Genomic DNA, 25,186 nt, shown 5'->3' with positions numbered 1-25,186 from the left:
CCCACCAAGCCCTGGGGTCTGGGCTGCGTTCACGTCCCCTAAACAATCCCACGCCTCTCTGAACCGGGTTAGAATCCAGCTTCTGCTGTTGGGAGTGGAGCCAGGCCAGGGCCCCCTTGGAGTCAGTTTTGCCTCCATGAAGGAGGGCTTTGAACTTGTCTCTCCCTAGCTTCGAGATGCTGCCTAGGTGGCTTTCTCCTGCTGGGTGGACAGTGGAAGGACAGGGCTGGGCCGGGGGCAGGCTGCAGGGACTGTCCCCAGTTTCTCCTCTGGAAAATTAGGGTGAGGGTAGAACCTGCACTTCACAGGTGTGCAGTGAAGGCCCCTTCATCTGCCCTGTGCAGAGTACTGAGCAGTGCAGTTCACACTGAGCTGGGACTCAGCAGCCACTGGTGTTACTATAACAAAAAGACCCAGAAGCCTCCTGCGCAGCCCCCCGCAGGCCAGCGAAGCCTGGCTCACGTCTCAGCTCTACCTCTCAGAACCTCAGGACTCGGAACTGGGCACATTATTTCCAAATGGGAAATGGGCTGCAGGGCTTCATGAGGTCCTCAACCTCCTCTAGCCTCAGGGAGTGGGTGCTGAGCTTGAGGGAAGGGTCGTGTGGTAAGCAATGCCTGGGGTGTAGGCAGGGAAGCGGGTGAGGGGCAGGGAGGAGGGTGAGGGGGCAGGGAGGAGGGTGACGGGGGCAGGGAGGAGGATGAAGGGGTAGGGAGGAGGGTGAACGAGTTAGGGAGGAGGGTGAGGGGACAGGGAGGAGAGTAAGGGGGACAGGGAGGAGGGTGAGGGGGCAGGGAGGAGGGTGAGTGGGTGGGGGGGTGAGGGGGCAGGGAGGAGGGTGAGTGGGCAGGGAGGAGGGTGAGGGGAAAGAGAGGAGGGTGAGGGGGCAGGGAGGAGGGTGAGGGGGCAGGGAGGAGGGTAAGTGGGTAGGGGAGGGGGAGGGGGCAGGGAGGAGGGGGAGGGGGCAGGGAAGAGGGTGAGGGGAGCAGGGAGGAGGGTGAAGGGGCAGGGAGGAGAGTAAGGGGGGCAGGGAGGAGGGTGAGGGGGCAGGGAGGAGAGTAAGGGGGACAGGGAGGAGGGTGAGGGGGCAGGGAGGAGGGTGAGGGGAGCAGGGAGGAGGGTGAAGGGGCAGGGAGGAGAGTAAGGGGGGCAGGGAGGAGGGGGAGGGGGCAGGAAGGAGGGGGAGGGGGCAGGGAGGAGGCTGAGGGGAAAGGAAGATGGTACGGGGGAATAGGGAGGAGAGTGCAGAGGTGAAGGAGGAGGGTGTGGGGGACTGCAGCAGGGCGGGAGGACGTACCTGAGTGGACCACAGGTTCAGCTGCTTGAGCGAAGGCAGTTTGATGAGGTGCTCGGCGCAGGCACTGGTTACATTGGTGAAGGCCAAACTGAGGTTCTCCAGGTTTCCGAAGGAGCCGGAGCTCAGCAAACGAGCCAAGTCAGCGTCCTGCGGGCAGACGGGGGAGAGGCCTGAGGGTGCTGCTGGGAGTTCCCGAGACCCTGAGCCCTCCTATCCCCTATCCTCCTCCTCTCCCCTCGCCCTACAGAGAGCTGTTCCTGGGGGGCGGTAAATCCCAGGAGCTGAGATGGGGGCACAGCTCGGTGGGATGGGCCAAGGGGGTGGCCAGAGAGGGAGGGGCTGCCACGCATCCCATGGACGACAGCTGCCAGGCGGAGGAGAAAGCCTCCAGTGCTGTGACTCACACCCTGAGGCACCAGCGGGGTGTTCCAAGGCCACGATCCTCCCACAGGCGTCTGTGTGTGTGTGTGTCTGTGTGTGTGTGCCTGTATGTGTGTATATCTGTGTGTGTCTGTGTGCACGTTTGTGTATGCATGTGTCTGTACATGTGTGTGTCTGTGCACGTCTGTGTATATTTGTGTGTGTGTGTGTTGGTGTGTCTCTGTGTGTCTGTGTCTGTGCATCAGGGTGTGTGACTGGCTGCCTCACTCCTGGGCAGCAGCTCATGCCAACACTGAGGCCACACTCAACTCTAATGCCTGAAGACACCAGCGCATGCCTGAGCACCGGACTGGGAGGTTCCTAAGACAACCTCCACACTCCCCTCCATCCTTGAGTGTCAGCGGCCCTGTGGCTGCCCGGAATGAAGGCTGATTTAGTGTGTGGCCCCACACACTAAATCTGGAAAATGGGATGTAAGTAGACATGTCAAGTAGAACTTCCAGGAAGTTTCTTAAGAGGAAGGGGCACGTTCTCCTTCCTGCTGGCTGGAATGGAGACAAGAGGTCTGGAGCCTGAGCAGCCCTTTTGGTCCAGGAAGTAGAAGCCATGTGTCAAATATAATGGGGGCATCAGAATAGAAGGAAATAAGACCCTTAAAGACCTTGTGAAATGCGAATGGTAAGATACACAAGCTTCCAAGGGTTGCTGTGAGGATAAAACAAACTAATAGAAGAGCATCTGACACACAAATGCTCAAGGTATATCTGCTATTATTCCAAGTACTATTAATAACTAGATATCAACACTATTATCACCAACAATCTGTATCATATTTTAACTTCCTTTTTGGTTTTCATTTCTCTTCCTGTAACCCAGCTACCTCCTGGAAGAGCTGGCGTGTTAAGTACTAGGGGGTCCTTGTGCCCCGCCCTCCATCACCTCCCATCTCAGCAGCAGACACCACCTGCCGTTCCCCAACAGAGAGGACCAACCCACCTTCTCCATCCAGCCCCAAAGAGAACCAAACCAACTCACTGTGGACTTGGAGGGCAGTGTTAGCCTGGTGGGCCCGCCTTTCCTTTGCTGCAACAGAAACCAGGCTGGTTACAACCATTCTTTTCCCCAAGTTTCCATTCTAGACTTCCACCTCTGTTAACAACACTCATGGAGCCATCGTTATTTTCTTGGTGGTACAAGGCAACACGGTGGTCTTGGTCTCAGGGGCAAACCCGGAGATGAGGTTTGAGCACAGGTGGTTTACTGGAGGGTGATCCCAAGAAACACCAGTGGGAGAGTGGGGAAGTGACACTGTGGCTACCTATAATGGAAGGGGTGTTATCAATCCAGCTATCACTGGGTGGGTACTGGCACCAAATCCCACCGGGGGACTCTAAGAAATGGTGGAGAAGCCATGTCTCAAACATATCTCACTGAAGGGGTGAGGGAGCTGGGGTATTTCTACACACTCTCCCCAGAAGGGACTGGTTGAGGGCTGCTCCAGGAGATCAGAAGGCATGAATTTCCTGCCCCTTCCGTCCTTCTGTGTACACATGTGTGAGTATATGCATGTGGACATACAAAGTCCTTCAGCAAAGAGGTGTGGGTGCTGGCATTTGGAAGTTGGGTCCCCCATGTACTGAAATGGAAGGGTCTAAGGGACATGGAGGAGGGAGGGTGGGCAATGTCCTGGCCAGGCCCCAATGAGCTGTGTGACTCTGGGGATTGCTTTGCTTCTCTTTGATTACCTGAAAAGTGGCAGGTGGTAATACCAATTTCTGGGGTTTGGAGGAGAATTCAACGAGATTGAGGTCCACTCAGGTCCAAGTACTAGCTGCCCCGCATCCCGCCCTGGCCCCCCCTGGCCTGCTGGGCAGGGGAGTGGTCCGGAGCAGCCGGGGACTCACCAGCTCCTTCAGCTCCCGCTGCCGGTCACACAGCTGCTCGTACATGCGCTTCCCCACGTCTGTGCTCTCCAGGGTTGAGATGATCTGCAGTTGGGTGTCGTTGTTGTCGATGATGTTGTATTCCAGCATCAAGCACAGGATCTGTCCAGAACCGCAGGGGTGCATTACGGACCCGGCCTGCCACCCTAGCTCAGCACACTCTGTGCACCCCAAGGGCCTTGTTTTGAAAACCAGCAACCCCACTATCCCCTTTCTGCAGCCCCGGCTGTGTAAGCCTGGGCAAATCACCTGCCCAACTTCCTGCTTGTACAATGGTAGCACCAGTGACCACGCACTGAGGTTCTCCAGGTTCAAATGTCAATGGACATGGGAGTCTCCCAGGCATCTGCTTACCGTGCGGTGTCTGGACATGGGGCAGGCCCCCGGGGGATGTTTGCAGGCCCCTGAGCACTGGTGGAAAGGCCAGAAGTTAAGACACCTCTCTCTCCCCAGTTCCTTCCCCAGTGGCTGTCATGAAGTAGGTGCTCAAACTCACGGAATGGCTCAGAGCCCTGGGCCCATCTACCACACAGCTTCCTAGAGGGCCTCATGACTGCACATGTGGCTCTTCGGCCTGGGGGTCAACACGCCTGACAGCCCTGCCTCTGACATTCCCTTTCCAATGACGATTTTTTTTTTTTTTGAGATGAGGTCTTGCTATGTTGCCCAGGCTAGTTTCAACCTCCTGGGCTCAAGTGATCCTCCTACCTCAGCATCCCAAGTTGCTGGAACTACAGGTGCATGCCATGGTGCTCAGTTCTAGAACTTCTCACTCACCAAGGAGCAGGTCACTCAGCCCACGCTTCTCACAGCGCCTCTTGCCTGTCTCCTGTCTCCCTGCTCAGCCCTCCCCCATGGCCTCCGAATCCCTGTCACAGGACAGCCAAGATTAAATCCAAACTCCTTCCCAGCACCTCTAGGTACCCAGAAGGCTCTTCATGCCCATCCAGCCACATCCCAGACCTCTTGCCCCTTGGCTCCCTGTGTTCCAGCCACCCTGGCCTCCAGCAAGCCTCCGCCCGGGATGTCCCCACAGCCTGCTCAGCTCCCACCTTCCCGCTGCCTCTTCCCCAGGGCTCACATCTGCCCGAACTCTCATTTCCACGGGAGCTCCCATGGCTTTGCTGCGCCTGCCAACTCTTCGATGCTCTTCCCACTGAGGGGTGAAGTCTAGCTCCCACGGCTTTGACTGAGGGCCGGCCGCGGTGACTCACTGCCAGCAGGAGGATGTGGCAGAAGTGATGCCGCCTGCCTTCCAAGGGAGGCTAAGTTAAAAAGTGACATGGCTTCTGCCTTGGTTCCCTTGGGACAGTTGCTCTGGGAGTCTCAGGCTTCTGGGGACTTTGGGACAGTTGCTCTGGGAGTCTCAGGCTTCTGGGGACTTTGGAGCGTGCAGGGAGAGAGAGGAGCAGCAGCAGGTGAGGGGTGACCTGTGGGGCTGGGTGTGTGTGTTCTTGGCAGGTGGACAGGCTACCTGGAGGCCACGAGGTGAAGGGTGCGGCTGGGGAGCCCCAGCCGCCAAAGCCCTCATTGTCTGAGGCCTCTTAGGCCAATGCGAGAAGCCTTGGGGCTAACCCAACCTGGCCCCATCTGACTGATGAGGCCCCAGGTGAGAAGTGCGTAGCTGCGCCCAGGTACCCCAATGCCCATGTGCAAAAGAAATGAACGATCTTGTTTTAAAGCCCTCACTTAGAGGTGGTTTGTTACACAGCAATAAATGAGCAGAACAGAAGCGTCCCCAACCCCACTGATCAATGGATCAGCTGGATCACAACAGAAACAAATACACTGCATGATGAAGGCTCGAGGCTCCCACTAAGCTCAGGACGGCTGGGACTGCACGCCTCACCCACTGCCCCCCGTGCCTGCAGCAGCTCCTGGCTCCCAGCAGATGCTCTATCGGCACGGACAAGGGACGGGGAGCCAGCCACCCCACCAGGGACCCCGACCAGCTCCTTACCTCCACCATGGTCTGGTTCCCCCTCAGTGCCAGGAGCATGCAGGGACCCAGCTTGTTTTCTGCCAGGGAGAGCAGGAATTTTTTGGTCTTGTAACAGGAGCCCATGAGGATGTGCACCTGTGAGGCAAGAAGGCCCAGGTGAAGGGACAGAGACACCCAGTGCCAGCCTCCAGCGTGCTGGCAGGAAGTGAGCCCAAGAGCCGTTGAACAGACCTGCCTACACGCTGTCCAGACAGCCAGGTGTTCTAGGATCACCAGGCCCCAGGGGGATGCAAGAAACCCCTCCCTGGCACACGATCTAACCCAGATGAACCCTGAGGACACTATGTTGAGTGGAATAAGCCAGTCGCGAAAGTCACGTTCATGATCCCTCTTTTCATTCTGTCTTTTGCCTTTTAGTAGTACCTGATTTAACTATAAGCCCCAGCTCAGCAAGGGTATCTTTTGTATAAATCTATAATACTAAATGCAATAAAAGCTGACTAGAATGCAATTTAAGGTCTCTTGATTTAAACAAATGTAGCCCTTGCTATTTTTATTTTTTTTGAGATGGAGTCTCGCTCTATTGTCCAGGCTGGAGTGTGTAGTGGTGCGATCTTGGCTCACTGCAACCTCTGCCGCTTGGGTTCAAGCAATCCTCCCACCTCAGCCTCCCTAGTAAGCTAGGATTACAGGCATGCACCACCATACCTGGCTAATTTATTTCTATTTTTAGTAGAGATGGGGTTCACCATGTTGGCCAGGCTGGTCTTGAATTCCTGAACTCAAGTGGTCCACCCAACTCGGCTTCCCACAGTGCTGGGATTACAGGCGTGAGCCACTGTGCCCGGCCCTTGCTAGTTTTTTCAAGAATCTGTAATAGAATCTCTAAATATGTAATCTCCTGCCATTATAAAAGTTCTGATGTTTGAAACACTTATTACGTTGAAGTTTTAAGCAGAAGGAGACTCTGACTCCACTTACATGAGGTACCTGGATAGGGAAATTCAGAGACAGAAAGGAAAAGTGGCTGCCAGGGACTGAGGCCGGGAGGAAGGGGGAGTCAGTGTGTAATGGATGCTGAGTTTCAGTTTCGGAAGATAAGAACGTTCTGGAGATGAACGGTGGTGATGGTTGTGTTACAACATGAATGTCTTCAGTGTGACTGAACGGTGTGCTTACAGATGCACACTTTTATATGATGTGTATTTTACTGCCAAAAACAAAAAAGCCCCCTCCCCTGCTCCCCTCGGGAGTCTGCTGACAGTTGATCCTTTGAATTCCTGGCACCGCTGGAACCACGTAGAAACTTCTAGGCAGCCTTCGCACATGTATGGGGTAGGGGACGTGACGAAGCCCAGCCACCTCTGCCAAGCCCGCTGTGAGCTCGGAAGGGTGTTTTGGGAGACTGCCTGCGCCCCAGGAATCCAAGAATTGGCAAATCCTGCTTCCTCTTGGGTTATGTGTTGGGCGGTCTTTTGTTCTGGTGCATGGGCGATGGGGGCCCAAGGGCAGGGGTCCCCGGTCACCGGGGCTGGGGGGAGGCCTCGACACCCCATTGGCTTTCCTCCAACTTCACACAATGGCAAATGCCCTTGGCGGTGGAGAAAGCAGCCTCATCAAGGGGCCGGCTTCCAAGCCATGCATCTCCATGGCAACAACACACTTCCATCCAGCGGCTGCCTGCTTCCTTCCTTGTGTATATTTTTTCCGCTCCATCATGAACAGCTCTGGCATACAAATGCAATCTCTCGGGCTGGGAAGCCGCCAGCTCCCTGCGCTTTCTTGCACCGAATCCTCACATTGTAGGGTGGGGGCGGGGGCGGGGGGGCGCAGCTGAGCGTTGCTATGGTGAAGCTGTGACATCAGAGGAGAACCCGAGAGGTGACCGAGAGCGCGAGAGAGGTGGTGCAGGCTGGCAGGGGCAGGCATGTTCCTAGATGCGCAGGGCCCTGAGAGGCCTGGGGTGGCCGGCGAGGAGTGGCGAGGGAGTGCATGAGGCAAAGGGCCTAAAAATAAGCCCTTTTCAAGAAGCTCCCAGGGGCAGCGCCTCAATTTGTCATCGCTGCACAAACATCTCTGCTGAGTTCAGTGTGGACAGCCAAACCAGCCACCCAGCAGAGAGGAGAATCACCACCGGCGTCATTTCCGAGCAGCGACTGTGCCGGCCCGCCGGGCGCCGTGCATCTACTGTTGCATGCGATCGCTGCGGTAACCTCGAGAGGCCAATGCGAGGCTCCCGGACGAGGGGCTGAAGCTGGCAGAGGCAAGTTACCAGCCCAAGGTCAACAAGCTAGCTCCCAGCAGAGCTGCGACTGGAAGCCCAGTTTGAGTGTGGGAGCACCAGTGACCAGTAAATGGAGCTGGTTTTCTCAGCAAGTGGAGTCGGCGAGGCTGCTGGCCACTAGGGTGCAGCATCTGCCCTGGGGGAGGAAGAGTCTGTGGCCCTTTACTCCTGGAAGAAGCCATGTGTGCCTGGCCAAGGAAGGGCTTGGAAACAGAAGGCCTGTGGGACCCCAGGCACGCCACCGAACCTCTGTGGGCCTCTGTTTCAACAGAGGTGTAATTCAGCAACAAGGATGCAGTACAGATAAAAAAGGATAGTGCATATGAAGTGCCGGATACAGTGCCGGGCACAAAGAAAGTTATCATGGATGCAGCTATTGGTTTGGTGACCTCAGACCCCTCATGATAGTGGGAACAATCCCCCTGACCGCGACACCTCCTTGTAAGGATTAAACAAGCTGGTGGACCTGCAGTGCCTTCCAGAATCCCTGGTCCCGTTGGGCACTCAATTTCTTGTAGGAACATAACCATGGCAATGAACTGTGTGACCTTAGGCAGTAACGGCCCAGGCTTTAGCTGCCTTGGGTATAAAATGGGGCAATGACATGTGTCGTCTTCTCACTGTGCTGTGAGAGCTGAGTGCAACTGGGAAAGCCAAGTGCTTGGCTTGGAGCCTCAGATAAGAAATGAGTAAGTGACAGTCACGGTCACCATCACCACCACCACCACCACCACCTTCATGATCAGCACTGTGTTAGCCGGGAAACTCCGGGGCTGGCCCCAGGGGATGGGGGACGGCTGTTTTACTAGTCAGGCATGGCAAGCCCAGGGACCCCTGGAAGTCACCCCACTGGGGTCCCACTGCGTACCATGCTGGCGAACAGCTCCCCGTCATCGTCGCAGGCCACCCCTCCGGGGCTGTAGAGCTGGAACCAGCCATCTTTGCCGGCCCGCACGCTCAGCAGGCATGAGTGGACCTGCCAGACAAGGGAAGACACAAGTGTGAGCTGCATGCAGCCCCGGTGACAAGGGCGACCATGATCTGCACACATGAATGGGAAAGGCTCAGGCAAGTCCTGCAGTCAAGAAACCCGCTTAACTTTGTTTCCTCCAGCAACCCCCAGCCTTCCACCAAATGCCATGAAAGGTCTTTCGGGAAATACCGTGGCCCCCACACCCCAGGGGACTCTGGCTACTGGCTGTCAGCTGCACAGGAGGGAGGGCAGGCCCCGGCTTGATTGGCTGATCTGAATGAAGCGGGCCTGTGGCTGCAGCAGGTAGAGATGCCCAGAGCAACCGCCCACAATCAGCCCCTTTTCCCTTTCTCCTGCCCCCTTTCTCCTTCTGCTATGCCTTCCTCTGGGTGGGGCCATCTCCTGGGTCTCCGTTCTCTGTTTGGTTCTCTGTCCTCCTCTCTCTGTGTTTCTAACTCCTCTCCCGTGCTCTCTGCCCTCTTTCTCTAGAAACCTCTCCCTGCTGCCTCTCTGGGGTTCTGCTGCCCCCAGCACTGACTCTCCCTCTTGGGTGTGTGCCTTCTGCCCTCCCTTTCTTGACTTGTGCAGGCACCATCCTCCCCTCCAGGTATCTGCCCTGCTAATCTCTCTCTCTCTCTCTCTCTCCCCCTCTTTGGGACTCTGCCACCCTCTCTTGTTAGGTCTCATCCCCACTTCCTTCCCTGAGTCTTTGTCCCCCTCCACTGAAGGATCTGTCCGTGGCTGGGGGCAATTTCAGTGCCAAAAGCACAGCTCTCACATTCCTTCCCAGAGCTGTGTGTCTGTGTGGATGGGCCTGTTTGTGCATGTGAGCACACGTGTGTGTGTGTATGGGAGGAATTCCACATCCACTCTGGCCCCTGCTGTGATTACACAGAGAGAGAGGGAAGGAGGGAGAGGATGGAGAGCGGGGAGAGTGAGGGAGAGAGACAGAGCATGAGAGCAAGGGCGTGCAGGAAACACAAAGGACTTTTCCCCACCTCCTCCTGTCCTCCGAAGAAAGCTGAGAGAAGTTCCTCATCATTTCCTTTAGGAAAGGACGATTGGCTGCCAAGAATCTGTTACCCACAGATATTAAACTGATCACAACCCACACACGAGCACACAGAAAACAAAGGCAGTGGCTTTTATTTTTCCCTCTGAGCTGGAAGAATATCAAGGGTTCCCTTATCGACTTCAAAGCAATAAGGACTTAGGAGTGTTGAGATGCTATTCAACAAATATAGCAAATAATTTTAAAGGAAACAACTTTGGCTTCATTTAGGAAGGAGAAGGTAGAAGGGAAGGGAGAAAGAAGAGTGAGGAGGAAAAGGGAGAGAGAATCAGCAGAGAAAAGAAAGAGGCAAACAGGAGAACAAGGGCCTGGGTGTGGGACCTTGGCCAGGGGAGCTGGCTCCTTCCAGACCGGCAGGTCACTCGGGGCCTCATGCACATTTCCCTGGTTTGAGAATTACCCTCCCAGCAGCTGGCCCTGCCTCTCTACTCTGAGAAGCAGCTGATGCCACTTTTGTTCTCCCAGCGTCAAAGGCTGGGTTTGAATTAAGGCTCAGTTCCCAGGAGAATTCTGAGACGCTGTCTTCACAGGTGGCAAGGAAAGACTTAAGTTTAAGAAAAATGGAGACACTCACTGGTCCCTGACATTTAAAAGCACCATATCCACCGTTTCTCCTTTTTCCCTCCATGCCTGAGGAACACTTAGGGAAATCGGTGTTTAGAATTGCGGTGTTTTGGAACTAGAGTCTTCAAGATCCCTCCAGAACTCGGTTTTTCAGTGTGGCCTGGAGACCAGCCCCTCAGAACCACTTGGGATGCTTGTTCAAAACGCATCAAAACGCATATGCTTGGCTCCACCCAGGCCCCGTGAGCTGGAACCGGGAAGGGATGCGGCGGCAGGGGGGTCTGCCTTTTGAACAAGCTCCTCAGGTAATATAGTTTGAGAACAAGTACTCTAGAACTTCTGGAATTACAGCCTGATAAACTGTGGGTTCTGAGTCAGAGAGACCTGCCATGGTTGGACATGGCAAGACCTTGGTGTCCATGTGTCCTCAGATTCCTTCTCAAACACCATGCTCCACCCTCCAGACTAAGGTCCAGTTTGACCCATTTAGCTAAGTCCAGCCAGTTCAGTACCACCTTCTCCAGGAAGCCTCCTGGGGATGGCTCTATGGAGAGGAACTCCCCCTGTCCTCTGCTCATCCTTCCCCCTGTTCTGCCGGGAGCACGAGTCTAGGTCTGTCCTCAACTGGGAGTTAGGGCGCTACCACACCCAGAACTCATGCACACAGAGAAGCAGGCTGTGAGCATCTCAGAGCACAGCACACAGTGCAGTGAGATGGTTATCAGCACCAGGCTCGAATCTTGCCTCAGTCGTGGACCAGCCGCGCAACACTGGGAATACTATAGAAGACACTCACAGGGATGCTGTGAGGCATGAGAAAAGGAATGTGTGTGACCCGGGGCACAGCACCTCCTAAAAGACAGCTGCTGGTGCTGTTACTATCAGATGATGCGGGCCCAGGGCTACAGGCTGGCTTCCTTGCCTGCCTAGGTCCCTGCCCATGTGCACAGGCTCAGGGGCAGAAGGTGGAAGGCTGCCCTCTCCCTGGAAGCCCAGCTTTGGTGAGGGACACAGCAGCCCTTCAGGGAAACCCTTGGCCACCATGACCGGGAAATAAAAACCCAGCTCTGAATCCCAGCTCAGATTCCTTGCTCTGCCCAGTGATTCACATAATAGCAGAACCAGACAGGATCAAAATGCTGCCTCAGAGCTGGTTGAGAGCTGCCATGCCAGCCCAGCCCGAAATCAAGGCCTCGGCTGCGGGCAGAAACCACCAGCCAGTGGAAAACCACCCCCGGTGAGCCGGCGTTTACAGTAAAACACTGACATCACAGGCTGGGCTCTGCACCAGGCGGGGATGTGTTTATACACAGGCAATGGGTCTCTGAAAGCTGTTCTGAATGCCTGTTGGTGACAAGCTTCAGAAGGCCTCTAAGGGGCCCTCGTGCATCCTGCCATCCCCAGACAGCCGGCCTGAGATGCAGAAACAAAGGCCTCACCTCTTGCCTGGGGTCTTCGGCGAACCTCTGAATCACGTACTTCAGTTCCCTGGAAGAGACGAGGCGGCCGGAGTTACTGCCGGGGTCTGGAACTGAGTGGGAGGTGTGGGAAGGGGAGGGGATGGTGTCAAGGAAGAACGGGCCAGGGAGCTGGGCAAGGCGGTGGATCAGGGACACGTGTCTCAAGAGAACTGCCAAGAGGAGCCACCACTGCCTCCCAGAATGCATGGGCCACGGAGGGAAGACCTCAGGACAGAGGCCGTGCGTGCCAGAATGGAATGAGGGCGGTGCCCAGACACTCACTTGGTGAACTTCTCATGTGCGAGAGCTCTGCAACAAAAACAGGGGAAAACACGGCGGTTAACAGAAGCGTCGGAAACAGCACAATGTTCCCAAGATTAACCTCTGGGGACGTCTAGACTTTATGTCTGATTCAAAGAATGAAGAGGAATGTGAGTGAAATGCCAACATTTTGTCCCCACTCAAAGCTCCAAAACAAAGGCCTTCTTTGAGGAGGCGGCAGATCAGAGCAACATGAACACACTGGGCCCCCCATTCCCGAAAGTTCCCTGTGCCCACACCTGTGAATAAGAGGGGCTAAGCTGCTGCCTGAGCATGTGTGGGTGCATGTGGGCTCCGGAGACCCAGGTGTGTTCATTAATTGTTCCACGATTAAGGCGGGCGGCACTCATTACTGCACACATCAGCGGCCATGGGGGACCATTCTTCTAAGACAGTTGCCACAGCCAAGAGCGCCCAGGCCTATGGGGACGGGGACTGAGGCCAATGACGTCACGACTCTGCTGAGACTGAGCGCCTCTTAGGAGGTGGATTTCTCCGGCCTCAAGTACTGGGGACCCTCGGGGACTGGCCAGGCCAGCACATGGGGCAATTACTGCGTGTAATGTGCCCTTACAGAGGCAGCATTTCCTAAACACGCTTGGTAATCGGCTCCTTCGAGAGCCCCAGCTGCCTCCCGAGGCTTGCTCCTTCCAACCTCTTGAAAGAGACCTGGAGGCATTTCAGGGCCTGGTTATTTTGACAAAGCCTTCTCTTCAGGCCATTATCCACCAGACAGCGTTCTCTCTAGTTTCCAGTGATCAATTCAATATGGTGCTAGGGGCCGGCAAGAGAGAGGCAGAGGGTCTGTTTCTGGCCAGGTTTGCTGCAGAGCCTGAGCTGAGCGTTGTACCGGGCGTAATTAGAGCGCTTCCAGCATCTCAGTACGGCACAGCGAGCAATGCTACGCGCATTATCTTTTGATTCTTACTATCGCCCTCGGAAGAGGAGCGGCAGGTATTACGGTTCCCATCTGGTGCATAATAAAAGACGATAACTGCACGGCCTGCCAGGAGCCATGGGGAGGGCTCTGTTTGCATTCTTAGCTCATGAATCCTTGTGACAATGCAGTCAAGCAGCTCCTACAATGTCCCTGTTCTCCTGAGTTCCCCATTTTTCTGAGGGAAGATGTGCCTCCCCAGGGGTCCCACAGCTGAGGACGTGGCTGAGCTGGTACCGACGTCTCCAGGGTCTTCCCGCTGTGACTTCGCTTCCCCATAACATGACTGGCCCCCCACTAAGGCCTTGGTGGACAACTGAGGTTTGTCTCACAGGTGGGAGGGCTCCGGGGATGCACACGGGACTTACTCTTTGGGGAATGGAATGGGTTGAAGCAAACTGGCCAGAGACGGTCTCCAGTCATCATAGTCTGACCTAGAATGAGAGAGGGTGACAGTCAGCTTTGGTTGGGACAAGGAAGGTTTATGGCACTGTTTTTGGTCCCAGATGGGCCAAAAGATGGGGTGAGAGCCTGGCAGGTAGTCAGTGGCACTGACTTCTCCACCCACTTCCACCTCCAGGATGAGCAAGTCAATGTTCTCAGCGTGGCCTCAAGGACTCACAACTGGGCCTGTGCAGAGACTTCCTCATGGCACCCGAGGGGGTGAGCTGTCTATTCCCCAGACTTCACAATGCCCTTTGAACCAAGGCTACGTGATCATTGTTCATGCCCTCTTTGGGACCATTAGGGGGTGTTTTAGGCTGAACTTTGCCCCCCATTCATATACTGAAGCTCTGCACCCCAGTACTTCAGAATGTGACTGTACTGGGAGACACAACCTTTAAAGAGGTGATTAGGTTACAATGAGGCTGTAGACGGATGTCCTTAGAAGAAGAGGAAACACGGACACGCAGAGCAAAGACCAGCCAGGACTCAGCGAGAAGGCAGCCATCTGCAAGCCAGGAGAGAGGCCTCCAGAGAAACCAGCCCTGCCCACACCTTGATTTCAGGGTTGTGCCTTCCCGAACTGAGAGAAATACATGTTTGTTGAGTAAGCTATGAGGTTGATGGTACTTTATAGCAGTCCTAGCAAACTAATGTAGGGGGCTTAGGCTGGGACCCTGGGGCCATTCTCACCTTTCTGTGATCAGAACTGAGGGAAAATTCTATAGACAGAATCATAAACAACAAACATTCTAAGCTGTTTGTTTGTAGTTTGGGTCAAACCTCCTGATTTGTTGGATCCCTTTTTTTTCTTTTTCTAAAATTTATTATTATTATTTGAGACACAGTCCTACTCTGTTGCCCAGGCTGGAGTGCAATGGCACGATCTCAGCTCACTGCAACCTCCACCTCCTGGGTTCAAGTGATTCTCGTGCCTCAGCCTTCCGAGCAGCTGGGATTATAGGCGTGCGCCACTATGCCCAGCTAATTTTTTGTATTTCTAGTAGGGATGGGGTTTTGCCATGTTGGCCATGCTGGTCTTGAACTCCTGGCCTCAGGTGATCTGCCTGCCTCAGCCTCCCAAAGTGCTGGGATAGGCCAGGTGTGGTGGCTCACGCCTGTAATCCCAGCTGCTCAGGAGGCTGAGGCAGGATAATTGCTAGAACCTGGGAGGCGGAGGCCGCAGTGAGCTGAGATCACCCCACTGCACTCTAGCCTGGACAACAGAGCGAGACTCAGACTCAAAAAAATAAATAACTCAAAGTGCTAGGATTACAGGTGTGAGGCACCATGCCTGGCCTTGGTGGATACTTCTATTTTTGCTTTCAGACAACAGCTTTTCTTCTTTTCTAAGAGTTGATGCTAAATACCCAGGAATCCAACTTACAAGGGAAGTGAAGGACCTCTTCAAGGAGAACTACAAACCACTGCTCAATGAAATAAAAGAGGACACAAAGAAATGGAAGAACATTCCATGCTCATGGATAGGAAGAATCAATATCGTGAAAATGGCCATACTGCCCAAGGTAATTTATAGATTCAATGCCATCCCCATCAACCTACCAATGACTTTCTTCACAGAATTGGAAAAAACTACTTTAAAGTTCATATGGAACCAAAAAAGAGCCCACATTGCCAAGACAATCCTAAGCCAAAAGAACAAAGCTAGAGGCATCACGCTACCTGACTTCAAACTCTACTACAAGGCTACAGTAACCAAAACAGCATGGTACTGGTACCAAAACAGAGATACAGACCAATGGAACAGAACAGGGCCCTCAGAAATAATACCACACATCTACAACCACCTGATCTTTGACAAACCTGATAAAAACAAGAAATGGGGAAAGGATTCCCTATTTGATAAATGGTGCTGGGAAAACTGGCTAGCCATATGTAGAAAGCTGAAACTGGATCCCTTCCTTACACCTTATGCAAAAATTAATTCAAGATGGATTAAAGACTTAAATGTTAGACCTAAAACCATAATAGCCCTAGAAGAAAACCTAGGCAATACCTTTCAGGACATAAACATGGGCAAGGACTTCATGACTAAAATACCAAAAGCAATGGCAACAAAAGCCAAAATTGACAAATGGGATCTAATTAAACTAAAGAGCTTCTGCACAGCAAAAGAAACCACCATCAGAGTGAAAAGGAAACCTACAGAATGGGAGAAAATTTTTACAATCTACCCATCTGACAAAGGGCTAATATCCAGAATCTACAAAGAACTTAAACAAATTTACAAGAAAAAATCAACCCCATCAAAAAGTGGGCGAAGGATATGAACAGACACTTCTCAAAAGAAGACATTTATGCAGCCAACAGACACATGAAAAAATGCTCATCATCACTGGCCATCAGAGAAATGCAAATGAAAACCACAATGAGATACCATCTCACACCAGTTAGAATGGCGATCATTAAAAAGTCAGGAAACAACAGGTGCTGGAGAGGATGTGGAGAAATAGGAACACTTTTACACTGTTGGTGGGACTGTAAACTAGTTCAACCATTGTGGAAGACAGTGTGGAGATGCCTTGAGGATCTAGAACTAGAAATACCATTTGACCCAGCCATCCCATTACTGGGTATATACCCAAAGGATTATAAATCACGCTGCTATAAAGACACATGCACATGTATATTGATTGCAGCACTATTCACAATAGCAAAGACTTGGAACCAACCAAAATGTCCATCAATGACAGACTGGATTAAGAAGATGTGGCACATATACACCATGGAATACTATGCAGCCATAAAAAAGGATGAGTTCATGTCCTCTGTAGGGACATGGATGAAGCTGGAAACCATCATTCTGAGCAAACTATCGCAAGGACAGAAAACGAACACCGCATGTTCTCACTCATAGGTGGGAACTGAAAAATGAGAACACTTGGCCACGGGGTGGGGAACATCACACACCGGGGCCTGTTGTGGGGTTGGGGGAGGAGGGAGGGATAGCATTAGGAGATATATCTAATGTAAATGATGAGTTAATGGGTGCAGCACATCAACATGGTACATGTATACATATGTAACAAACCTGCACATTGTGCACATGTACCCTAGAACTTAAAGTATATTAAAAAAAAACAGAGTTGATGCTAATGACGGTAATAACAATGACAATAACAACAGCAGCTCCGATGTCACGGAGACTTTCCACACACACTGCAGGATGCTAAGGGCTATACCTTAGTTCATTTACTCTTTACAAGAGCACAATAAAGTCAGTGTGACTAACCCCACTTAACAGATGACGAACTGGAGGCTCAGAGGTTTAAGGTCACACAGCTGTGGCATATGAGGAGTCAAATCCAGGCTTCTGTGACAGCAGAGCCTTGGCTCTCACCAGCCCTGAAAGGCCACGGCTGTGATCTTAGCAAAAGCCAACGCCTGCCTGGGTAAGGAAGGAGGGCTAAACCTCAGTGAGAGCAGCTGCGGGAAGCACCGTGCTGTTCACCTGACTTCACTTAACCCTTTCATGAAAGAGCCTCCTTCCTGTGTGCAGAGACAGCGGGAGAGGTCAGTTACCCACTCCGAGTCATCTACACAGCCTAGGAAGGGGTAAAGCTGGACTCAGAACCAGGTATTTCAGGCTCTATCACACCATGGTGTGTGGTGAAGCCAGGCACCAGGGTGTCACCCCCATCCGACCCTGGGAAGACCACTGTCCCACAACCGAACAGTATTAGCACTGCTGATAACGCAGATGCAATTCGCTCTGCGCTGCCTGCGCACCGGGGCTTGAAGTAAGGGCACTGCTTGTGTTCGCTCATGGGATCTACCCAGAGGACCCTGTGTGCTGAGTCCAAATTACGGACAAGGAGCAGTATGGCAATTCACTGACCGTGACCACAGGGCTGTGATACAGCCAGGCCACAGCAGGGAAGCAATAGCTTCGGGAGTTTCCTGAGGCCCAACAGGCTGCTTCCCGACCACCTACCAGCACAGCTTCATAAAGAGGGAGTTTTTTGGCCAACTCTTGCCCCCAAAAGCTGGGAGCGTCCAGAGAACTCGCCGGCGTCTCAGTCTGAGTACAGATGGGCTTGTATCACACAGCAGAGCACTCACACACGGCCCCCAGAGACTGCAGTCATGACAACCCCCATTTTACAGACGAGGAAAATGAGGCTCAGAGCTGTTTGTGATTTCCCACAAGTCACCAGCAAGTGGCTGAGATCTGACCTCAGGTGCTTCAAAGACCATGACCCGTCCTCTCGGCCCCAGCACCTGCACTGTGTTTATAACCAGTTCCCCCACCTGGGTTCCGGATCTCTCTGGCTATAGGGACTCCGCGGAAAAACAAACCCAGAGGTAGTCAGTTCTCGCCTAAGCCAGGCCTGGGCACCTCTGAGGGCCCAGAGCTTAAAACCGTGACACATAAAGTGAGGGGTGGCCACTGGAGCAGTCCCCATCCGAATCACAGAGCTGTCCCTGGTGTTCCCCAGCTTCTGACCATCTTGCCTCGGACCACCCCAGGAGGGGCCCAGGTCTCATCTCTGCATCCCCCATGCTGGGCCCCGGGCTGGGTGGATGGCTGGTGCTTGGGAGGGGACTGCTGAACACAAGGCCCAGTGCACACTGGGACCGGGCCAATGACAGAGCCTGGGGCCTGTGACCGGCTTCAGAGCAGAAGGGATGTTGAGTCTCCATCTGGGGGACTAGCAAGTGCCACCAGGTGCCAAGATCGAGTGGGATGCTGACTTCGATCCTGGCTTGCACTGGGGCAGGAGGTGGGATCTGAACCCTTGTCCAGTGGTCTGTGTTGGGGAGGCGCTGCAGAGAGATGCCCCGCTGACACCTGGGCACCACCCACGGGAGAGGCCAGGGGGTGCTCAGACCCGGGCTGGGCAGAGGGGTGGTCCCGGGACCCCTACCCACATACGACTCACCACAGATACACTGTGTATCGGTTTGCGTGCTGTGTGTCTAACTGTGCCTTACATAGAAACGGGAGGAGATGTTTTTTTCACCAAGTACAAATGTTCACTCCCATCGACAACAGGCGGTTTAGATAACCCCTGAGTGAGGGCTTTTCCTGCCCCACCTTCCTCCAAATAAGCCCACGATAGAGTGGCAGCCTTCAGAACCCCAATCATACCCTGGAAGCTTCTGAGGAAAGGCTCCGATGCCAGACGCGGAGAAAAGAATGACCAGGAAAGCCTGTTGCCTGAGATAAGTCCTGACAGTGATGCCAGCGACCGCTTACTCACTGCCTACCCGACTTGCTCACTTAATCTCCAGAGCGGTATGTGAGGGCAGAGGGTGCCGGTGAGGAAGCTGAACTCCACGCCTGGGAGGCAGATGAGGACTGACAGCAGGTCCTCTGGACTGCAGTGCTTGAGTGCGGAAGGCCCAGGTGCAGCCTGGGGTTCTCAGAGCTGCAGGAGCCTGAGGCCTGTCGTGTGCATGTCAGGACATGGAGACCCCTTTATGCCCCCGTATTCACATGCTCCCTTCTGAGGGGTCATCTGTTTTTGCAGCTAGCTTGTCTTCCCTCCAGAAGAATCACCTTCCTCCTTTCCTCCCACCTGTCCCTGACTCATGGTTTCCAGAAAATGGAAATGCAGTTGACAGCAAACCTCGTCTGCAGCGCCTGCTGCGTGCCAGGTGCTCTCCAAGGGCTCCCATGCGTCAGCCCATGCAACTCTCCCAGCAACTTGGCTGGGCGGGTGCTCTTGGCACCCCCATTTTATAGGCAGGAAAATGGAGACACAGTGATGGGCTGCCCTGGCCCCAGGCCACACAGCTGGTGAGAGCTGGGATCTGAACCTGTGAGCCTGGCCCCAGTGTCTGTGCTCCACCCTCTCAATAACCATGTCTCACAAGGAGGGTGGCCCGGCTCACACCTGAGAAGGAAGACGATCTCCCTATATCACAAGGACACTGGTGGGCACATGGTGGCTCACGCCTGTAATCCCAGCACTTTGGGAGGCTGAGGCGGGAGGATTGCTTGAGGCCAGGAGTTCGAGACTGGCTTGGGCAACATAAAGAGATCCCATCTCTAAAAAGAAAAAAAAAGTTAAAAAAAAAAAAAAAAAGTAAGCCAGGCAGGTGGTGTGCACCTGTAGTCCCAGCTACTTGGGAGTCTGAGGTGGGAGGATTCTTTGAGCCTGGCAGTTCGAGGCTGCAGTGACCTGTAACTGCGGCACTATACTCCAGCCTCGGTGACAGAGTATCTCAAAAAATGAAAGGGAGGGGAGCACTTAGGTTTTTTTTTACTTTAAAAATAAAGCATATTCCATGCAGAAATGTCATGAAATGCAGAACTCTAAGGAGATTTGAAATCACCCACAATCAGAGGAATCAGGGTCCCCACGGGGGACTATGAGCCCCAGCAGCAGGCCCATGGTCACTTGTTACTCCTGAGCCTGTTCTGTGAACCGTGAGCGTGGCCTGTACTCCCAGGTGCTCAGTCCAGTGGGAGACTGTGGCCTGTCTGAGGCGGGGTCTGGACAGAAGCCTCCTCCTCTCGGTCTCCCAGCCTGGGGCTCCGCTTCCTGGCAGCTCCCACAAGACCGAGAGGGGTGCATGGGAAGGAGGGAGAGGGCAAGTGGACTTCCTTGCCTCGGCCCAGACCAGCTTGGAAGTCTGTGACCCCAGTCGGACCAGGTTGGTGGATGAATGGGGGGCGCTGGACAGAGGTTGTGGGGGAGGTGAGGCTGGGTGTCCCCAGACTGGCAGGCCCACGAAGAAGGGAATGAGGAACCCTCTTGTGCATGGGCCTCTCTGTGACGGGCCTCGGCACAGGACCCAGTGGCCAGCAGAGTCCCCGCCTCGGGACTGCCCTGGCTCTGGGCGGGCCTGTTATCCTAGGATGGGATGCCTCTGGCCACTGGGGCAGTCTCCCATTTGGCCAAGGCTGGCCTGGGGTGGGAGGACAGGCACCAGGCAGGGTGTGAGCGACCTGACTGCCCACCTAGGAAGGAGAAAAGAAGGCTGGGCCCTTCCCAGCTTGGACGGAGGGGACGGACAAGCAGGCAGGTGCCTGATGCATCCTGCTGACCCCAACATGCCTCAGGCATTAGGCACCTGCACATTTAACCCTCCCATGAAGAGGGCCTTAGAACCCCCATTTCACAGATGAGAAACGGAGGTCCAGAGAGGTTCAGACACTTGTCAAAGGTCACAGAGCTAATGGGGGACATGTTGGGACTGAACAAGGCTTTGTGAGTGCAAAGCCCGGGTCTCCCACCTCACGCAGCTCAGCTGGGATTTTAACCCAGTTCAGAAGATGCCACCTCAACCAGAGCCCTGTGCTGCCCTGTGGACAGGACGCTTCCTGCCAGCCTCGCTGCTTTCCCTGACTCACAGAATCTCCTGCAAGTCACGGGCAGAACGTGGCGGCCTCACGGTGGCCTGATGCTTGGGAAGGCACGGGGCATGAGAAGGCCCCTGTGGGGGCACATTCAGACCACTTTGCTCCTGCTATGCAACATCCAGAAACATCTGCTCCCTTGAAAGGCAAACCAGCTAGCTCGGGGATTTGAACCCAGGCTGAGAAACAGTGGCTGTTACCCGCGAGGCCGGAGGACCTCAGGAAAATTCCCTTTCTCTCCACCTGTGCGGTCATCCCATCAGGGACCTTCCCAGGCCCCACAGCACATCTGCTGGCCTTAAATGCTCCAGGGACCTTTGAGTTTCTAGAGTTATCATGTGCTCCAGGAATGAGCAGTTTAAAGTTTCCAAACAGGCTGGGCGTGGTGGCTCACGCCTGTAATCCTAGCACTTTGGGAGGCTGAGGTGGGCAGATCACTTGAGGTCAAGAGTTCGAGACCAGCCTGGTCAACATGGCGAAACCCCATCTCTACTAAAAATACAAAAATTAGCCGGGCTAGGCGGTAGATGCCTGTATCCCAGCTACTGGGGAGGCTGAGGCAGGAGAATGGCTTGAACCCGCGAGGCAGAGGTTGCAGTGAGCTGAGATCGCGTCACTGCACTGCAGCCTGGGTGAGAGAGCGTGACTCCATCGCAAAAAAAAAAAAAAAAAAAAAAAGAAAAAGAAAAAATAAACACATATAAGAAAGAACTACCTAGAAGAATCAAAGACTTTTTAAAAATTACAAAACAGGCTGGGCACAGTGGCTCATGCCTGTAATCTTTGGGAGGCTGAGGTGGGCAGATCACTTGAGGTCAGGAGTTCGAGACCAGCCTGGCCAACATGGCAAAAACCCGTCTCTACTAAAAATACAAAAATTAGCCAGACTTGGTGGCAGGCGCCTGTAATCCTAGCTACTGGGGAGGCTGAGGCAGGAGAATGGCTTGAACCTGGGGGGCAGAGGTTGCAGTGAGCGGAACTACTGCAGGTAATACAGGATGTCCCCTGGCCCTGCCTCCCAGTCATTAGGACAACCCCAAATTCATCTGCATTTCCCTGAAGTTCCCCGAGGGAGGGGCCTCTTCCAGCTGAGCTGCAGCCCACCAAGGCCTCTTAAAATCTAATGTTTGCAAAGAGTCCCAAGCGGTCGACGGGAGCCAATCAGAAGCGCGTCCTACCCCTGTGGCCCCAGTGGGCCACGGCTTCCACACTCTCCCCATCTGAGCTTTACAGCAGCCGCACTGAGCGCTTGATGTCACTGCTCTTAGCACTTGGCAATACTCAGGTTCAGAGGGACTGAGTACAGGGACCAGTATGGCATTTGGCATAGAGTCTGGCCTGGCGTAGGTATACAACAAAAGCTGGATGAAAGAATGAATCAACAGGTGGATAAATGAAGGTGTGAATCATACATAGGTGCCCAGCAGGAAAAGAGCTGGACTCCAAATGACTACAAATCCCAAAGCTCTTCTTCGCCTCCCGAATCCACGTTCTTTTCATCACCTCACCCCTCCTGCGCCTCATGCGGTGATTTTTTTCACCATCAACCTCGACCCGCATTTGGAATAGTTTTCCTTTTCAAGGACCTCCAGGAAATTTTTGCAACTTAGGTTACTTTTCAAAAGTGTCAAATTCTAATGATGCAGGGGCCTTCCTATGGGAACACGCAGCAACTGATCAGGGCCTGCGCCCCACTACCCCTGCTCCCTGGCAGTGGAGCGGGAAACACTGACCTGTGCACCCTGCGACCTGCACTGCCCTCTCCGATGGATGTGGTTCGCTCTAAGCGTGCCTTCCTGAGCCCCGCCTGGCAACGTCCTCTTTAAGACCCTTCAATTCCACATAAAGTCATCTTTTTTTTTTTTTTGGAGATGGGAGTCTCGCTCTTGTTGCCCAGGATGGAACGCAATGGCGTGATCTCAGCTCACTGCAACCTCCGCCTCCCGGGTTCAAGTGATTCTCCTGCCTCAGCCTCCCAAGTAGCTGGGATTATGGGCATGTGCCACCACGCCAGGCTAATTTTTGTATTTTTAGTAGAGACGAGGTTTCTCCATGTTGGTAAGGCTGGTCTCGAACTCCCGACCTCAGGTGATCCGCATGCCTTGGCCTCCCAAAGTGCTGGGATTACAGGTGTGAGCCACCGAGCCTGGCTGCTTCTTTTTTTCTTTATGTGTAACTCCCATTTGGGCAGCACTTCAATACTGATAACTGCAGTTCACGCTTTTATTATTGAGATGGAGTCTTGCTCTGTCACCCAGCTTGGAGTGCAGCAGTGCAATCGTGGATCACTGCAACCTCCGCCCCCCGGGGTTCAAATGATTCTCGTGCTTCAGCCTCCCGAGTAGCTGGGACTACAGGCGCCCGCCACCACACCCGGCTAATATTTGTATTTTTAGTAGAAACAGGATTTCGTCACGTTGGCCAGGCTGGTCTTGAGGCCTCAAGTAATTCCCCCGCCTCGGCCTCCTAAAGTGCTGGGATTACAGGCGTGAGCCACCGCACCAGGCTGACAACAGCAGTTTACTCTTATCAAGAACCAGAGGCTAGGCCAGCACCAAAAATCTCCAACATCCCTGAATTCTCATGCAGTCCTCCGAGAAGACATGCATTTTACAGACAAGAAAACTGAGGCCCAGAGGAGCCAAGAACACTGGCCACAGTTCCACAGCAGCTCAGGCCCACGGCTGCATTTCCTCAATGCTAGGAGGCAAGTTTCCTGCAATCCAGGTGTGCAATAAATGCCATGTGGCTTTTCTCTCTCAAAGCACTCTTACTGAATCAATGACGCATCTCGCCCTCAATAGTATGGTCAAGCGGCGGGAACATGGCTGCATCATAAACGGCGGCTACTCCCATTGGCCAGGTGTTCACCTCGCAGAGGTGTCTGCTCTGCGCCAGGCACTCAGGGCTGGCCCCTCCCATCTCTTTGCCAATGCCAGATGCAGCCATACTTGCGCCACCTCCCAGCCTGGGACCGGAGGCTCAGAGAGGATGACCAACCGTCCAAGGTCACAACTAGTATGTGGCACGGGTGAGACTTGAACCTAGCATGGTCTGACTCTGAGTCTGTGCCTTTCCTGACGTATCTCACTTTGGAGCCCTTTGAGCGGCTGGGGTTGTTTGGGTCCAACCAGTTTGAAGCCTCCAATGAGCCAGCAACTTAAGCAGCCTGCTGGGTGTGGGGAGGAAAGTTGTTGGGAAAATACAGTTATCAGGCCCAAATTGTGTTGAGCTCCCCGAAGATGGAAGAGGCTGCCAGGAGCATAATCCCATTTTGTGGAGGGCTTGGGGATAGGCGTGACCTGCTCCTCTGCGTAGCCCCATCGGGAACCCGTCCTGGCTTGCCCTGACTGTCCTGGGCCCTTGGCGATGGCCCTGACCCCCACCTGCACCCTGGCAGCTGGGTGATGCGGGCAGGCAGGGGGTCTGGACGCAGATGGGGGAGAACAGAGCCCCCATTCATGAGCATGTTTATGAAGAAGGAAAAAATGTGTGTCAACTGCGTGCTGAAACTCAAACCCTTAGTGCTTAATGAGAAATAGGAGTCAGGCCCCAAATACCAGAAGGCCCAGGAGCTCACGGTGTTTGCAAAAACCAGCTGGAACTGGGGAGTTGGAGTGGACAGCGGGGCCACTCTCTGGCCTGGAGGCTTCTACCTCCATCAGAGCAGGGAGCCCCCTCCAAAATCCAGGGAGGCGCCCTAACCCGGCTGCCGCTGGGAGAGCTGGCACCCTTCTCTGCCTTGAAGACACTCAGGGCTGTGACGTATTCTTGGAGTGGCTCTCTTAGTGGGATCTGGAATTCCGCTTGGCTGGGGGTGGCGGTCACTGAATGTGGTTATGCCCTCACCTGACCTCTGCTGCTGGGACCACGAGGCGGGGCTGGTCCTGAACCCCTGGGCACACCCCACCCTTTCCTCTCCGGGGCCAAAGCCAGGGCAGAGGAGGCTATGTGGGGACGCTGCCTCCACGATCTCCTTCAAACCAGCAGCAGCCACCTTGTGAACGTGTGTGCGCATGTTCACCTTCACAGACACCACAGGCCTTGCTAGCAGAGCACAGGGGGCACCCCAGGGTGCCTCCCAGCCATTTCTCCAGCTCACCAGGCCCTCAGAAGCTGCCCTCTGTCCCTCGAAACCCTGAGCAGGCTCCAGGAGCAACACAACACATACATGACAGAATGACCAAACGCTGCCCAGCGCGTGACGACACAGGGGCTCAGGGAAACCCCACCCACCC

At 54.1% G+C, this 25,186-nt stretch overlaps 1 protein-coding gene across 11 annotated transcripts in view, besides 5 other annotated features; it reads right to left on the bottom strand.

Moving 5' to 3' along the window:
- The window catches only part of CMIP (c-Maf inducing protein), a 266,955-nt gene that overhangs the window by 6,380 nt on the left and 235,389 nt on the right, over positions 1-25,186 (bottom strand). For 10 of the 11 annotated variants that reach the window (XM_047434717.1, NM_198390.3, NM_030629.3 and 7 more), the window contains 8 exons: positions 13,543-13,608; positions 12,199-12,225; positions 11,896-11,944; positions 8,716-8,823; positions 5,582-5,698; positions 3,583-3,723; positions 2,714-2,761; positions 1,298-1,444 (listed from right to left, as the gene is read on the bottom strand). In XM_047434717.1, coding sequence (XP_047290673.1) covers positions 1,298-1,444; positions 2,714-2,761; positions 3,583-3,723; positions 5,582-5,698; positions 8,716-8,823; positions 11,896-11,944; positions 12,199-12,225; positions 13,543-13,608 — 703 coding nt within the window. The remainder of the gene's footprint in view (positions 1-1,297; positions 1,445-2,713; positions 2,762-3,582; positions 3,724-5,581; positions 5,699-8,715; positions 8,824-11,895; positions 11,945-12,198; positions 12,226-13,542; positions 13,609-25,186) is intronic. The other variant, XM_011523352.2, reaches the window with a different exon arrangement.
- Positions 202-703: an enhancer, noted in NCBI's record as "H3K27ac hESC enhancer chr16:81738285-81738786 (GRCh37/hg19 assembly coordinates)". NCBI's record gives its function as "activates a minimal SCP1, AML or CMV promoter by ChIP-STARR-seq in naive H9 embryonic stem cells {active_cell/tissue: H9 hESC(naive)}" and the evidence as "EXISTENCE:reporter gene assay evidence [ECO:0000049][PMID:30033119]".
- Positions 13,644-14,283: an enhancer, noted in NCBI's record as "H3K27ac-H3K4me1 hESC enhancer chr16:81724705-81725344 (GRCh37/hg19 assembly coordinates)". NCBI's record gives its function as "activates a minimal SCP1, AML or CMV promoter by ChIP-STARR-seq in naive H9 embryonic stem cells {active_cell/tissue: H9 hESC(naive)}" and the evidence as "EXISTENCE:reporter gene assay evidence [ECO:0000049][PMID:30033119]".
- Positions 18,162-18,899: an enhancer, noted in NCBI's record as "H3K4me1 hESC enhancer chr16:81720089-81720826 (GRCh37/hg19 assembly coordinates)". NCBI's record gives its function as "activates a minimal SCP1, AML or CMV promoter by ChIP-STARR-seq in naive H9 embryonic stem cells {active_cell/tissue: H9 hESC(naive)}" and the evidence as "EXISTENCE:reporter gene assay evidence [ECO:0000049][PMID:30033119]".
- Positions 18,900-19,639: an enhancer, noted in NCBI's record as "H3K4me1 hESC enhancer chr16:81719349-81720088 (GRCh37/hg19 assembly coordinates)". NCBI's record gives its function as "activates a minimal SCP1, AML or CMV promoter by ChIP-STARR-seq in primed H9 embryonic stem cells {active_cell/tissue: H9 hESC(primed)}" and the evidence as "EXISTENCE:reporter gene assay evidence [ECO:0000049][PMID:30033119]".
- Positions 21,626-22,421: an enhancer, noted in NCBI's record as "H3K4me1 hESC enhancer chr16:81716567-81717362 (GRCh37/hg19 assembly coordinates)". NCBI's record gives its function as "activates a minimal SCP1, AML or CMV promoter by ChIP-STARR-seq in primed H9 embryonic stem cells {active_cell/tissue: H9 hESC(primed)}" and the evidence as "EXISTENCE:reporter gene assay evidence [ECO:0000049][PMID:30033119]".

Source organism: Homo sapiens, chromosome 16 (genome assembly GCF_000001405.40).
Source record: "Homo sapiens chromosome 16, GRCh38.p14 Primary Assembly".
In the NCBI taxonomy this organism is placed as follows: domain Eukaryota; kingdom Metazoa; phylum Chordata; class Mammalia; order Primates; family Hominidae; genus Homo; species Homo sapiens.
The sequence above is the reverse complement of the archived record's forward strand: the minus strand, read 5'-3'. Positions and strand labels throughout refer to the sequence as shown.